The sequence below is a fragment of the Homo sapiens genome, chromosome 12 (genome assembly GCF_000001405.40).
Source record: "Homo sapiens chromosome 12, GRCh38.p14 Primary Assembly".
Taxonomy (NCBI): domain Eukaryota; kingdom Metazoa; phylum Chordata; class Mammalia; order Primates; family Hominidae; genus Homo; species Homo sapiens.
This window is the reverse complement of record NC_000012.12, coordinates 104,678,685-104,693,535: the sequence shown is the minus strand read 5'-3', so window position 1 is coordinate 104,693,535 and position 14,851 is coordinate 104,678,685. Positions and strand designations below refer to the sequence as shown.

Below are 14,851 nucleotides of genomic sequence, written 5' to 3'. Positions count from 1 at the left end.
GTCAGAGTTAAGAAGTTGTGTAATTTAAGTGACCACACATCCTGGTGTGCCTGAGACAGCCTCATCTTATGCCTGTTGACCCAGCACAAATATTAATGACGATCCTTCCCTCTCAAAGTGTCCCAATTTGGAGGATAAATTATATAGTACTGCTACCCTAGGTATGGCATAGTAGCTTAAGAGCATGGCCTCTGGGTTCCAATCTCAGCCCTCCATTTTTCAGTGGTGTCACACTGGGCGTGTTGCGCTGATCTGTGACCCCTTCAAATTTATATGTTGAAGTCTTAGCCCCCAGCACTTCAGAATGTAACTGTACTTGGAGATAAGATTTGGAAAGAGGTAATTAAGATACAATGAGTTCTTTGGGGGGCGGGGCCTGATCCAATCTGATTGATGTCCTTATAAGAAGAGGAAATTGAGACATAAGATATGTGTGTGTATGGAGGAAAAACCAAGTGAGGATGCAGCAAGACAGTCATCTGCAAGCCAAGGAGAGAAGCCTCAGGAGAAACCAACCTGCAGCCACCTTGATCTTGGACTTCCAGCCTCCAGGACAGTAAGACAATAAATTTCTGTGGTTTAAGTCAGCAGTCCCAGCCTTTCTGGTACCAGGGACTGGTTTCATGGAAGACAGTTTTTTTTTTGTTTTTTTTTTTTAATGGATGGGGGTGGGAGGGGCGGGGTTGGATGGTTTCAGGATGAAACTGTTCCACCTCAGATCATCAGGCATTAGATTCTCATAAGGAGCATGCAACCTAGATCCTTGCATATGCAATTCACAATAGGGTTTGTGCTCCTGTGAGAATCTTATGAGGCCACTGATATGACAGGAGGTGGAGCTCAGGCAGTAATGCTTGCTCGCCTGCCACTCACCTCTTGCTGTGGGGCCTGGTTCCTAAAAGGCCAGGGACTGGTACGGGTCTGTGGCCAGGGGCATTAGGGACCCCTGGTTTAAGTCACCCAGTCTGTGATGTTTCATTATGCCTGTCAGAGCAGGCTAATACAGTAAGTTATTTAACCTCTGTGTCTCAATTCTCTCCTCTGTAAAATAACAACAGTTTCCCTCAGAGGTTTGTAAGGCTTCAGTGGGTTAATATATGCAAAACACTGAAAACATCACTCGGCAAATTGCAAATGCTATGAAAGTGTTAGCTATTTTTGCCGGTCACGCCAAATCCCTGGTTCCTAATGCAATGTCTTGAAGGTGGTAGGCAGTCAAACACATTGTCTGGATGGACAATGCCCGACTTCAGAGTGAGGATGAGCTGGCCAGGGAGCACTGCATGCGTCGGAGCAGCTGTGCTCGTGGGCTGCACGCTCTGAGGACTGCGGACCGAGGTTCGCTCTGTGGGTGAAACTGCAGAGACGGTGAACAGGAGCTGCTTTGGGGGAAGTTGCTGTGCCTAGAACCAGGTCCTCCACTCAGGAAGAAATGCAATCCTTGAATGACTTCATCATCTTGCTCTCAATTGTATGTATTTAAAAGTGATGATAAAGTCAAAACAAGGAGACACGCTGAGGTCTGGTCTGTAGTGTGGCACTGCTCTGCAGAGAATCTGCAGCTTAGCAGAGAAAGGGTTTCCTGAGGCAGTGACTTCCTAAACAGCAGTCACTCACCACATTGTCACACATCCAAGTACCAAGCCACACACTCGGAATTCGTCTGGTCTGCATGAGGCTGGTTGCCAAAGCCTGGTGTCCCTTGTCCTGCCCTTAGGTGACAATACCTGTGTTAAATTGTGCCTCTAGGCTGGGGGCGGTGGCTCACGCCCATAATCCCAGCACTTTAGGAGGCTGAGGCGGGCGGATCATGAGGTCAGATGATCGAGACCATCCTGGCCAACATGGTGAAACCCCAACTGTATGAAGAATAAAAAAAAATTAGCTGGGCACTGTGGCGCATGCCTGTAATCCCAGCTACTTGGGAGGCTGAGGCAGGAGAATCGCTTGAACCAGGGAGTTGGAGGTTGCAGTGAGCCGAGATCACACCACTGCACTCCAGCCTAGCGACAGAGTGAGACTCCATCTCAAAAAAAAAAAAAAAAATTGTGCCTCTAATGTGCCTGGTTTCCCCCCCGCCCCCAGTATTCTTTAAAATAGACACATCACCATTAAGAGAAAAATGGTTGGTGTGGGTAGCATGCTTTGGGGAATGCTGGCTTGTGCTCATCTAACAGTGGATGAACTGGAAGTCTAACTCTCACTTTAGCACCCACCTGACGCCCTCTCTAGGCACCCTTCCCTGGTGAAAGACAACAGGACACAGAACATCACATCCTCACAGCCCATCCAGAGCTGAAAGGCAGTTCAGAACGGGCTGAACCAACCAACCCTTCCCGTGCCTTATTGGGCACTGGCACATTTTCTTAGTAGAGAAACTGAGGACCTGGAGACCTGTCTAAGGCCATCTGTTCTTCGAGGACAGGACTGCGGCTAGAACCCACATCTTTGACCCCAGACCTGGTGAGAGTTGGGAGGAAAGAAGATGGTAAGAGTCTATACATGACCTAATTTTTTCAACATAGCCAATAATGGATTCTTTCAGGCAAGAAAAGACCAGTCTTTGATGCTGGCCAAAGATGATTCTGATATGCAGTAACTACAGTGAGTAAGCTGCACTTGTGAAAATCCTGTTTTGGTCTGACATTCCCCGATCACTCTGTTTTTATTCTCTTGCTCATATCTCTTTTATTTTATTTTTATTTTTGGAGACAGGGTCTCACTCTGTTGCCCAGGCTGGAGTGCAGTGGTGCAATCCTGGCTCACTGCATCCTCAACCTCCCAGCTTGGATGATCCTCCCACCTCAGCCTTCCCAGTAGCTGGGACCACAGGCGTATGCCCCCATGCCCAGCTAATTTTTGTATTTATTTATGTAGAGATGGGGTTTCACCATGTTGCCCAGGCCGGTCTAGAACTCTTGGGCTCAAGTGATCCACCCTCCTCGGCCTCCCAAAGTGCTGGGATTACAGGCATGAGCCAACGCGCCCAGTCTCGTATCTCTTTTCAAGCAGCCTGTTTGTCATTGTTTTATGACTGGCCAGAGGAAGACCTCAGATGTTGGACCTAATGCATCCATTTTTCATATAAGAGGGGATCAGAAATCGACTTTTATTCCTACCCAACAAGAAGCGACAAATGGATGCAACTTTAAGAATAGTTTTTAGCAAATTGAAAAGAGAAATACAAATGAAATGATTCAAACTTCAGAATGCACAGAGACCCAGAGACAGGAAGGGAATGTTTAAATCCTCACGGAGTCCCAAAACAAAATCCTTCCAATGCAATTCTTTCCGTCAACTCCACTTTAATAGAAAGCTATTAACTGGATTCTCACCTTATTTATAGGTACTGTGTTATTTTAATGAAAACTAAATCTCGCTTGCTCTGCTCAATCCTTTCTCTGCTCAATTGATTTCCTGTGGCTACATGGGAATAAATTATTTTTAAATCTTCACCTTCGTCACAAGAGTGTGAGCCCACCTGAATGGGGAGACAATTGATATTAGACAAATTGAAAATATTCTTGAGAATGTCATGCAAAATCCCCTCTGGGTTGAATCGACCCAGTTTTGACTTAAATTATGATTTTTGCGTAGTGGTTTTAAGTAAAAAAAAAATGCACAGACATTTTGTGAAAGAGGAAAGGGAAGAGACGGGGGAGAGACCACAGCAGAGGGGAATGGGGAAGAGCATCCAGGGGCAGAGCTGGGGACAGTATTGGGAGGGGGAAGGAGAGAGGGAACTGGGCTTGTCTGTCTAGTTAAGCAGACAGTGCCTGTGTTAGGCTCTATGTTCCCATGATGGTCTTCATAGGGCTCTGTCTCTCCCAGGACAGTCCAAATCTCTCCATTGTTAAAGGACAGCTGTCTCCCCAACCCCGTCTCTAACTTCAGGCAGGTATGCTAGCCGCCTTGGGCACTGGTATAAGGCAGCATCTACCACAGTGCCTGGCAAGGAGAAGAATCACATAAATGTAGTTGCAATGATTAATCACGTAATTATAGTAAGTGCATGATACAAGGTTGCTGAATGAATGCATGAAAGAGAATTCAAAAGGACTTGCTCACCTCGTCTCAGCCTCACAGCTGCTGGGAAGTATGTTCTGCCCCATCTTCAACAGAGCATAACACACAAACGAGGGTCTCAGGCGTCTGCCTGCTATGGGATAGAACAGCCATTGGGCCTATCCTTGGCCATGGAAAAAGCTTCCACTGTATTTCGATTGGAAGCAAGCATGTCCACCTGAGGAGGCAGCAGGCGATTTATGGCCCTGAGGTTTCAGGTTGGGTAGGAAGGGATTCTGGCTGAGGCCAAGGTTTATTTTGGTCTTAAAAATTTCTTTTCCTAATCCTTACTCATTGCAGGCAGCTTGGAAGGAAAATGAGAAAGTCACAAAAGAATGAAGAACATCACAATAGACCATAACACCTAAAGGAAATACTGTTAATATTTTGACATTTGTCCTAGAAATGTTCTTTCACGAATGTGTGTATATAGAAAGAATTGTATCATATAATACTTATATTAAAAAGTCTACTATTTTTATTTAACAATAGCTTGTCTCCTTCACCTCCTCCTCTTGCTCCTTCTTGCCCCTTCTTGCCCAGGCTGGTCTCGAACTCCTGGGCTCAAGCCATCCTCCTGCCTCAACCTCCTGAGGAGCTGGGCCTGCAGGCTCATCACCATGCCCAGTAGCAATGGCTTGTAACTGACATCTTCCCATGTCCATAAACTTTATGCTACAACATCATCTTAAGGGCTCTATACATTTTCCTTATATGGCTGTGACAGAATATACTTAACCACACCCCTATTTTGGTTACTGTCTAGTTCCAATTTTTTGTTATTAGAAATAATACCTGTGTGAACATCCTTAAGGATCCTTAACATTTTATTTTTCACATATTTCTGAAGATTATCTTGAGAATATCTTACAGGTTTTTAAATACACGTTTCAGGTTGATGTTTTAACATTAATTTATGTTTCTAGCAAAACAAGTGAGAGGAAGAAGCAATTTATTCAGAAGACTTCCCAATACGTCAATCTAGCCCTATAGTTCAGTAGGCTCAGGGGCTCTTGAGCCTTGCTATCTGGGGCCACATCTCATTTTACCACCTACTGGCTCAGGGACTAGTGGTGAGTTACTTCTCCTTGCCTCGGTCTTCCCATCTATAAAATGGGTGGAGTGGCGCCCACCAGACAGGGTTGCTGTGAAGGTTCAACTTGTCAATCTAGACGGAAAGCATTTGTGATCAAGGATCAGAACAAGAGCTCCAGGAATCTGTCAGTACCCACCCTAACAGCAAGCTATTCATCCAGAGTTAAAATCCCACAGCAACAGTCACCTGAACACTTGTATCTCATTTTAAAATGGTCCCTATTGTTTTCCTCTGCTGCAACAGCCTGGCGTTCTTAACGCGCACACAGGGATGCCAATTTCCAGCCACACAAATGACCACATCTTTGCGTTTTCTAAGAATCAGAAGGCCCATCTGATGCCATGCAGGGAAGTGATGCACAGAAAACACAACCACACTGTTGCCAAATTCAAGTGTGAACCACACACTGGCTGAGAGCAGGAAACACAGAATAACAACCGCCACCCTCACCCAACGGCATTAAACTGTGAAATGCTGGTACGGTATGAAAACAGCTTCCCTTGTACCAGAAAACTGCATCTGGAGTATTTCTCCAGGAAATATTGTTGGTGTTACTAAAATCCAAAGCTGCAAAGGGAAAAAAAAATTTTGGGGGGGGCGGGGGCCGCTGTTTGAAACAGGATCATTCTAGGCAGGAAAGGCCATTTCTTTAAAAAAGAATCTTGAGCTAAACTGGCCTTGACATCTATCTTCTCATTTCAACTCGTAGTACCTCCTCACTTCCCAGAACCTCCTCACTGCCCAGGTCTTTGGGAAGTACCTCCTCACTGCCCAGGTCTTTGTCTAAAGACTACCCTGGAATCAAATCCTTGCCTCTGGCTTCCCAGCTATGACTATGGGCAAATTCTTAAGCTCTTTGGCCTCTTTCTTCATCTGTAAAATAAGGGCTACTGCAGCATCTACTTAATGCAGTGGTTGGACGGTGAGATGAGATAACTCAGGTAAAGCGCTTCACATGGTGTGTGGTACATAGTAAGTGCTCAATAAATGAGAACCATTGTTATTAACCATCACTATTGCTGTATTGTCCAGGATTTATACACATTTACTTAGTGCCTCTGATGTGTAAGGTGCTTTTACGAATTCAGTCAACAACCCTTGGCTTGACCACCCAAATGAGAACAAGGTGTAAAGCACTTGGATGCTAAAAAAACAAAATAGTTCCAGAAGAGCTGGTGAGGGGCATGGGCCCTGCTGACTGCCCAGTGCAACTTCTGAATCCTAGGCCCTATTGCAACCACTCTTAGCACTTGGCAAGGCCAGAAAGGTTGCTGTGTTAACTGTAGGTTTGTGGCATCTATACAGAAGGACCATGAGCCTTGGCAGTTGGGACCTGCACAATGCTCAAACCAATCCCTGTAGAGAGAGAGAGATGCAAACTGATCCAAAATATACAATTTTAAAACAAAACAAAAAGAAACAAGAATGGCCAGGTGTGGTGGCTCACACCTGTAATCCCAGCACTTTGGGAGGCTGAGGTGGGTGGATCACCTGAGGTCAGGAGTTTGAGACCAGCCTGACCAACGTGGTGAAACCCTGCTTCTGCTAAATACAAAAAAATTAGCCAGGCGTGGTGGCGGGTGCCTGTAGTCCCAGCTACTTGGGAGGCTGAGGCAGGAGAATTGCTTGAGCCTGGGAGGCGGAGGTTACGGTGAGCTGAGATCGCGCCACTGCACTCCAGCCTGGGCAACAAGAATGAAACTCCGTCTCCAACCAAACAAACAAAACAAATAAATAAAATAAACCAGAACAACAACAAACTAAAGGCTCTACTTAGCAGTTACTTTGTAACTTTTGATACAGTAGCAGCCACAGTTGCAAATCTTGTCCAGAAGTCCTACAATTTTAAATAAATAGCCAACAGGAAGTGACACATAGTAACTGAATTTGTGTGGGCCTAGTACCAGATTCAAGTTTCTCATCCTTTATTCCAGCAATCATCAACCAACTTTCTAGTCTTTACTGTCTTCTGCACCTGAGTGAGCAGAGGACTCTCTCTCAGAGCACAGCTGTCCCACATTCTGGCACCTGGAATCAGTCAGCCAAGCGCTGGATCAGCGGCTAAGCAGCTGTCCATTAGACTCCTAGGAAAAGTCAGGTCAACCCTATGAATCACTATGTTGTCTTTTTTTTTTTTTTTTTAAGAGGTGAGTTCTCCCTTTGTGATCACGTTGAAGTGCAGTGGTGGGACCATAGTTCACTATAGCCTCCAAACTCGGGCTCCAGCGATTCTCCTGCCTCAGGCTTCTGAGTAGCTAGGACTACGGGTATGCACCACCATGCCCAGCTAATTTTTTAAAAATGTTTTCGTAGAGATGAGGGTCTCACTAAGGCTGCCTAGGCTGGTCTCAAACTCCTGGCCTCAAGTGGTCCTCCCACTTTGAACTCCTAAAGTGTTGTGATTATTGGTGTAAGCCACTGTGCCCAGCCTATAGAAATGTTTTGCACGAATTTCTGGAACCATCAGAAAACACCAGAGTCTGCCAGAGAAGTCCCCAAATAGCACAGGAATAAATGGCATAAAATATTAATAATTCATGTCTCAGCAAGGGAATAGGCAGAGAACACATGTTCAGCACCAGCAGTGCCAGGAGCTGTTATTTTGACCTAACTTGCTCCAAATGAAAGTCCAGACACAATCTCTCACACAAAATTCTTCACCGGCTCAACCATAACAAGAATAGTCCCTAATAGCATTTATTAAGTGCTATTATGTGCCAAGCACCCCACATACATTAAACATATAATCCTCACAGTAGTCCTACAGGCAAGTGTTCATCTAGGTGATGGAAATGGAGCTCAACTAGGCTGAGAGACTTGCCTGAGGTCACACATTTAATGAGTATTTGAATCCCTGGTCGCCAACCCATACATTATGTCTTAATGATGAATATTCAAAAATGGAGAAAAGGTGTTCAAAATTTATCATTGGTATAAATCATGGTATAACTTTTCTCAATAAAAAGCACCTGTGTAACTTGAGATGAGCATCTGCATTAAAAGTCATAAAATAAGTTTAGGTTTCTTATACCAAACAACCTAATTTGCTTATATATAAATATCAAGGGATAGAAGAGCAGAATTTCAAGCCAAATTGAATAAAAAGCATGCAGTAACATCGCACCTCAGCCCTCTCAGGAGGCTATATATTAAGATTTTTTTAGGCCTTACACCTAATGCTTCTGGAGCAATGAGACAGATGAGGTTTTGCAGATTTACTTCAGCATAAATTAATGCTAACCATCTGGATGGATAAGATAACCAAATAGCCATAAAATCTTGGCAACCTCCAATGTAAGAAAAATTGCTTGGGAGCTGAGAGGAGGAACAAAATCCATGCAGAGTTTGTTGGAGGAATGCCAAAGTGATCATAGAGTTTACTAAGATTTTGACTTACTCTTGCACTTTAATCATAATATATTTGCAGCATGGGGGATTAGAGGCAGTCTTTGGAGGGAAGAGGTTGCATAGAAAATAATTCCTTATAGCTGCAGAGCACCTTGACTGAACAAAGGTGTTTTGGGGCTGGGTGTGGTGGTGGCTCATGCCTGTAATCCCAGCACTTTGGGAGGCCGAGGCGGGCAGACCACTTGAGGTCAGGAGTTCGAGACTAGACTGGTCAACATGGTGAAACCCTGTCTCTACTAAAAATACAAAAAATTAGCCAGGCATGGTAGTGCATGCCTGTAATCCCAGCTACTTGTGAAGCTGAGGCAGGAGAATCACTTGAACCTGGGAGGCAGAGGTTGCAGTCAGCTGAGATCGCGCTACTGCACTCCAGCCTGGGTAACAGAGTGAGACTCCGTCTCTAACAAAACCAAACCAAACCAAACCAAACCATATCAAACAAAACAAAGGTGTCTTGGCTTTCAGTTTGAGCTTTCTAATAGCCTTTGGAGCCATGGAGGGGCAGGGTGTACCATCCCCTTTTTACAGATGATAGAGTTGGGCTCAAAGAAGCTGAGTAGCTCTGCCATTCAAGGCCAATGCTCTTTTCACCACCCTGTGTAGATGTCCTCTCATCCATCCACCTATCTGTCCATCTATCCATCCACTCACTCACCCATCTATCCATCCATCCATCCATCCATCCATCCATCCATCCATCCATCCATCCACATTTTGTACCAATTCCTATTTATTCTGTAATCCTTCAAGAAGGAAGGAAAGGAAAGCCAGTCCTTTGGGGGAAGAGCCACACCCATGCGTCTACGCACAGTTTTGCAAGAGGAGTCCTTTCTCATAAATAATGCCACCATCTTGGGGATCTGGAGCTCTGCCCCGCTGCTAGTTCTGCCGCATCTCCTCGCTCCTCCCTCATTTCCACTGCTGACTATTCTGCCAGCAGTGTGCACTTACAGTCAAGTGCTAAGCATTAAGGGAACATTCTTTCACCTCTCTGCCCTTCTAATCCACTGAATTGGTAGGACTCCAGGCCTCTCTAGCTTAGGTTACTTGGCTAACAGATGCTAGCATGATGGAACTGAGTTCAGAGGTGAATCTAATCATAGTGAATTTTCCCATAGATGTGAATGCATGCATTCACTCCCACATTCATTTATTCACCGACAGATTCCTTCATTCATCCTGGTAGATGTTCTTGGCATCTACTCACTGCCCGGCAATGCGCCCAAGGGATGTAACAATTGATACAATTCAAATGTCAAAGAAAAATGTTCAAAGCATGATTTTTAAAAATTTTCCTTTGCAGGTGGGTAATCTGGTGTCGGCAAATCAAAGATCTGCCCCATGAGAGTGATCAGTTCTGGGGTGGCTGAAAGGGGAATCTCATATCTTACTATTTCCTGGGAAAATCTATCCATATTTCTGAATACCATATTTCAACCCCACAAAGTTGCTCCCAACCACTACAGGAAAATTGTTCAGTGTAGCCACAGCTGGATTTAGACCTTTAGAGGTCTGAAACCCTAACAAAACCATAGGGCCACCTCCAAAATGTGATTCGAAGTGAAAATAAGGTGAAACCATAAAGTAAGTATAAGCCCGGCCTCATTTCTTACTGGTCCTATGATGACTACATTGATGATTTTTATAAATATAAATGATTTCTCTTTCCCTCTCTCTCTGTTTTGGGGTGGGGAGCTAGCATGTGTCCAGCTTTGCTGAAGCCTCTGCCTTAGTTTTGTCTGACTGCTGGGTTGTCTCGCACTGAGCAGGTGGATACTGGGCCTGAAAGTGTCAAACCCTGCTCATTGGTGACATTCTCCCCCTGCCCAATCATACTCCATTCCACCTCCTGCTCAAGACCCCGCCCCCTTTTGCCATTTCAACACTTTCTTCCTTCCTGCAAAGGTTAGTTTCCCTTTTGAGGTTTGTACATCTTTTAAAGTGGCTTCACTTTTGTCTTTGAATGCATAACACTCCCGTGAAGATAAGTACAGTTTACCCCTATTAGACAAGTCTGGAGAAGAAGGACAGAGAGTCAGGTGGGGCTGGACACAGGGTTGGTACTTGGTGATCGGTGGCTACGGTTACGGTAGCTGGCTCATTAAGGCCAGGAGCAGTGTTGAAATCTGGAACCTGATTCTCAGTGCTTTCTGCCGGGCTATGCTGCTGTCACTGGGATTGAACATCGGTTGCCATGGGGCAGAATTTATTTCCCAATGAGGTGGCTTCACAGGAGAAACACATCATACAGGTGAAATCCTAATGCCATATGGAGGATACCATTGCTATCTCTAGTCTGTCTCAGATTCTCCCAATGTCAGTTTGGTGAAAAACAAGACCATAAACACCAGAGAGATGAAATCTTTCACTACCAAGATCCAGGCCAAGACATTACAGGTGTTACCAAAACTGGGGTAACCAGGAGTCAACTGATATCAATGATCCACTTGTGTCCGATGGCCAGGGAGGGTTTGCTTGTCACCAAGGACACAACTAAAATACAACCATAACAAATGCTGCTGCTGTTTCTTCAGGCAGGTCAAAGCTTATAGAATATTACTGATCTTTTCTTTTGTGTGCTGCTGCCTCTACTCAGTTTGTGGCGGTTGGCCAGACAGATGAACACTTTTATTCCTCAACGGCATGCTCAGATGCAACCTCCTTTAGAAAACTTTCCTGATACTCTTGTTCCCTCACTTTGTCCCTCCCTGATGGAATTTGCTGTTCCCAGTGCTGTACAACATATATACTTCCAGTAGAGCCCAATCCCACATTATATTATTTCGGCATTTGTCAAAATATTATGCCAGTGTCTTTTTTAAAAAACCAAAACAGGCCAGGCGCGGTGGCTCACGCCTGTAATCCCAGCACTTTGGGAGGCCGAGGCAGGTGGAACACGAGGTCAGGAGATCGAGACCATCTTGGCTAAAACGGTGAAACCCCGTCTCTACTAAAGATACAAAAAAAAATTAGCCGGGTGTGGTGGCGGGTGCCTGTAGTCCCATCTACTCGGGAGGCTGAGGCAGGAGAATGGCGTGAACCTGGGAGGCAGAGCTCGCAGGGAGCCGAGATCGCACCACTGCACTCCAGCCTGGGCGACAGAGCGAGACTCCATCTCAAAAAAAAAAAAAAAAAAAAAAAGCAAAACAGACAAAAAGAAAAAAGAGGTATATGAGTGTTTCTAGACCTATCAGACTGAAAAACAGACTTCAATTGTCTCCCAAGTAGCAACTGGGACTACGGGTGCATGCTACCACACCTGGCTAATTTTATTTTTTTCTGTAGAGAAGGGGTTTTGCCATGTTGCCCAGGCTTAGCATGTCATTTTAAACTTTGTATTATTTCTGAAAGTAATGAAACTATATCTCTTTTTTAAAAAGCAGCTTGAGATATAATTTATGTACCATAAAATTCATCCATTTAAAATGCACGATTTAGTGGTTTTTCATGTATTTACAGAGTTGTGCAATCATCGCTGTAACCTAATTTTAGAATATATTTATCACCCCCAAAAGATTCTGTCTATGCCCTTTCTAAGCCCTATGCAACCACTAATCTAGTTTCTGTCTCTATAGATTTATCCATTCTGGAACTTTCACATTAATAGAATCATATCATATGCGGTCTTTTGTGAGTAATTTCTTTCACTTAGCATAATGTTTTTGAGGTTCATCCATGTAGCATGTATCAGTACTGCATTCCTTTTTATTGATGATCTATTTCTATGTATCCTATCATTTAGATGGTAATGCATGAAGTTACTCATTACAAAGTCATTAGACAGCCCAGCTGTACTCACTGCCACCCAGTGATGTGTTACTAGAGAAGTGTTGTACCTTTCCTTCCAGGTACTCCACAACAGGCTGGTAAGAGACTGCAAGAAGAGAGAACCTTTAAACTGATCAAGCACTTGCCTTGCACTAGATGTCTTCATTTATTATCTCAATTCATCCTCACAACAACCCTTTGAAGTAGATATTATTATCCCCAGTGTTATTGAGGTCCAGAGACTTTAAGAGACTTGTCCAAGACCACACAGCCATTAAGTGGCAAGACTGAGATTCAAACCTAAGATCTGTCTGCCCCTAACATCTATGCCTTCTTCACCTGAACCCTTCACTCACAGCAGGAACAGGGGGGCGGGGCACTCAAAGATGTGGGCCCAGCTAGTCAAGCTTTGCTTGCACGTGAGAACCCGGGGGAGTGTGGTATAAGTTAAAAGTCAGGGTGACCTGATGATTTCAAACGTGGTTTGGGTGGGCACATACCAGAGGAGGAGGGATTGAGAGGAACTGACTTTACTGAGTGCACAGCATTTCCTTCCCACATGGAGCAGGTGCAGGAGCTGAATCACTGACCCAATAAGCAGAAATAAACCCTCGAATGACAGGACACCAGTGGGAGGCTCCACACTTCTGCACTTCTGCCCAGTAGGCAAAAGCAATGGTGCTTCCTAGCAGAACATCCTTACTTCTGTGGTCTGACCAGGCCCCGCAGATTGGCCCCTGTGTGCCTGCCTGGCCACATGTCCGTCCCCATCCCCACATTCATCAGGGTTTCCTTGCACAGCCTTTGTGTTTGCTTCTTCCAGCCACCAGGCTTGCATCTGCTGTGGTGCCCTTGCACTTGCTCTTCTCTCTGCCTCAGTATGTCCCTGAGATGTCCCCATGGCATTTGCATGTCACTCCAGTGTTGAGAGGCAAGAGCGTGGCTTAAGAGCAACACCCACTGGCTCACTCATGCTATTACTACCTTGTATCTTCTTATATATCTATTTGCTATCACCTGCGTCCTCTCAACCAGAAAGTATGCCCCTTGAGAACAAGGATTACACAGCCTTATGCACTGCTGTATCCCTGGGGCCTAGCCCAAAACCCCTGCACACAGCAGGAGTCCAGTTGATGCTTGGTGAGTCGATGAATGCTCAGAGGTTCAAGTCACTCTAAAGAAAGCAGACCAGTTGGTGGGGCTTTGCAAATTATAAGGTGGTCCAGCAGATAACCCTGATTCCTGGGGCAGTAAAAAAACAAACCAACAACAAAAACAAACCAGAGGGGTTTTGTTGTGGGGAGGCCTCTTCCTCTGGACAGTCAGGGCCGCCACCCTTTGACAAGAGTCAGAGATGCTGTGAGGAGCCTGCCATGATTCTGGCAGCCCTGTGGGGAGCTAATTAGGATTTTCCATGGGGCGGGGCTCCATTGCGTCTTTCTCTGTGCTCTACCATGAATTACACATGGCAGTTTCCAAAAGGGAAAGAAAGATGCCTGCTCTCTGCAGGGCAGGTGATAGTGCTGGCTGTCCCTGCAGCTGGGGCTCGGCGGCCCCAGTATGTTCAGGCCACAAATCCCACTCAAAATCCACACAGGCCTGGCCCCCCTCACCAGCTGCTGGGGTCTCATCAGCAAATGACTTCGCATGAGGGCTCTCTCCATTCCCAACTCTTCCTTCTCAAACCACACACGGGGCGGAGGTCAAAGAAGAAGATCTGACTCCAGAGTTCTGCTCAAGGGAGACTGCGGCTCAGGGGGATATGGAGCAGGACGCGGAGGCTCCGGGGCCTGAATTGGTTCCAGGCCTCGGTGGGTACCCTCCCAACGGGTTTACAGACAAACGTATATGCCCTCGGTCTCCCTTCGCCTCTCTCCTGGCCGGTGGGGGCTGTAAACTGTGGAGAAGGCATTTGGGGTCCTGAAGTCCTCACTGCTAAATTCTACTTCCCTCAGATAGCACTGGCTTCTGGAAATGGAACTTTCTGGGTTGGAATCTTGACTTGATCATTTACTAGCCAGGTGACCTTGGACTGAATCTCTCTAAATTCCAGTTTCCTCATCTGAGTACTACGAAGATAGGAACATCCACCCTCACAGGTCGGTTGGTGGCCTTTCCTCCTCCTTCATTCAGCTAATGTCTACTGAGTACCAACGACATCATGGGTGCCCTCTTACGAGCTGGTTTTGTCTGGAGAATCTCAGGAGAGATAAAAATAGCGGCGAGACTGTGTGAGCTAGAGCGGGAGAAATTAAAATAACCCTAAGACTGTGTGAGCTAGAGTACGTGACTTTACCTCTCAGTCTGTTTCACAAACTGAATGAAATGGGGTCAATGCCACACTCCTGAGGACTGTTTTGAGTATTTAATTCCAAACGTAACCGAGAGCCTGACGCACAGTAGATGCTCAATTAATGCTCATTGTCACTCTCTGAAAATATAAAATGTGGTTTTTATCTCCCCCACCGTGAAGAAAAATAAAAACCTTGTCCTTTCATTCCTTGGCAGCCTTAA

At 45.4% G+C, this 14,851-nt stretch overlaps 1 protein-coding gene across 4 annotated transcripts in view, besides 2 other annotated features; it reads right to left on the bottom strand.

Moving 5' to 3' along the window:
• The window catches only part of CHST11 (carbohydrate sulfotransferase 11), a 305,067-nt gene that overhangs the window by 68,479 nt on the left and 221,737 nt on the right, over window positions 1-14,851 (bottom strand). The gene's annotated exons all lie outside the window — the stretch shown is intronic.
• Window positions 1,440-1,519: an enhancer, noted in NCBI's record as "active region_6930". NCBI's record gives its function as "activates an Ori minimal core promoter by ATAC-STARR-seq in GM12878 lymphoblastoid cells {active_cell/tissue: GM12878}" and the evidence as "EXISTENCE:reporter gene assay evidence [ECO:0000049][PMID:35858748]".
• Window positions 5,398-5,593: a silencer, noted in NCBI's record as "fragment chr12:105081721-105081916 (GRCh37/hg19 assembly coordinates)". NCBI's record gives its function as "represses an EF-1alpha promoter that drives an FKBP-Casp9 reporter gene in an ReSE screen in HepG2 liver carcinoma cells {active_cell/tissue: HepG2}" and the evidence as "EXISTENCE:reporter gene assay evidence [ECO:0000049][PMID:32094911]".